The sequence below is a fragment of the Homo sapiens genome, chromosome 7 (assembly GCF_000001405.40).
Source record: "Homo sapiens chromosome 7, GRCh38.p14 Primary Assembly".
NCBI lineage: Eukaryota > Metazoa > Chordata > Mammalia > Primates > Hominidae > Homo > Homo sapiens.
In genome coordinates, this window is record NC_000007.14 from 47,601,061 (window position 1) to 47,601,766 (window position 706).

At 45.8% G+C, this 706-nt stretch overlaps 1 annotated feature.

Moving 5' to 3' along the window:
• Positions 1-90: an enhancer, noted in NCBI's record as "active region_25980". NCBI's record gives its function as "activates an Ori minimal core promoter by ATAC-STARR-seq in GM12878 lymphoblastoid cells {active_cell/tissue: GM12878}" and the evidence as "EXISTENCE:reporter gene assay evidence [ECO:0000049][PMID:35858748]".

The window sequence follows — 706 nt, forward strand, 5'->3', positions numbered from 1 at the left end:
CAGTGTCTTTTCTCCTGACTTGTTTTCTGACCATTCACCCTGGGTTCAGCTTGGAGCAGGGCCTGTGTATTTACTGCTGAGGCCACATTAACTCTTAGCAATGATTAAATTTTGACATCTCAAAACCACACTTCCGAATGTCCCCTTCAGAGGGATGCAATGATAACTCCTGCAGACCTTCAGCAAAGGGATATTACTTTTGTGCCCCCTTGGTCCCAGTGTAAAAGTGTTGACTGAAATTAAAAAGGGGAAGTGGTTGTAATTCACCAGGGCCTTTCCTCTTAAGTGGGTCTTGACTTTAATTTCCACCCTCAAGGTGAAGGGCAGAAGGTTTCTCTGCAATTTCACATTAGTTTAACAAATGGTTTAATGAGCACTAAAATCAGTGCTACCCTATGTTGCCCAACCCCAGGAAGAGTGATTCACATTGAATAGAATGTGGATGCTGCCTGTCCCTGGGATGGTGGGGTTCACAGCTTTGCCTAAGAAATCTGTTCAGTGTGTACATTAACACAATGCACGGGGGGAAGGTGATTCACACCAATTCATGGGGGAAGGTGATTCACACCAATGCATTGGGGAAGACATCAACCAGGGGAGGAGACGGCCACATAAGGAAAGAAGCATATTGTGATATGGAAGGTAAAACAGAGGTGCAGGGTGGCCTGGAGGAGGAAATGACTGACACTGAGAGGGGTTTAGGGAT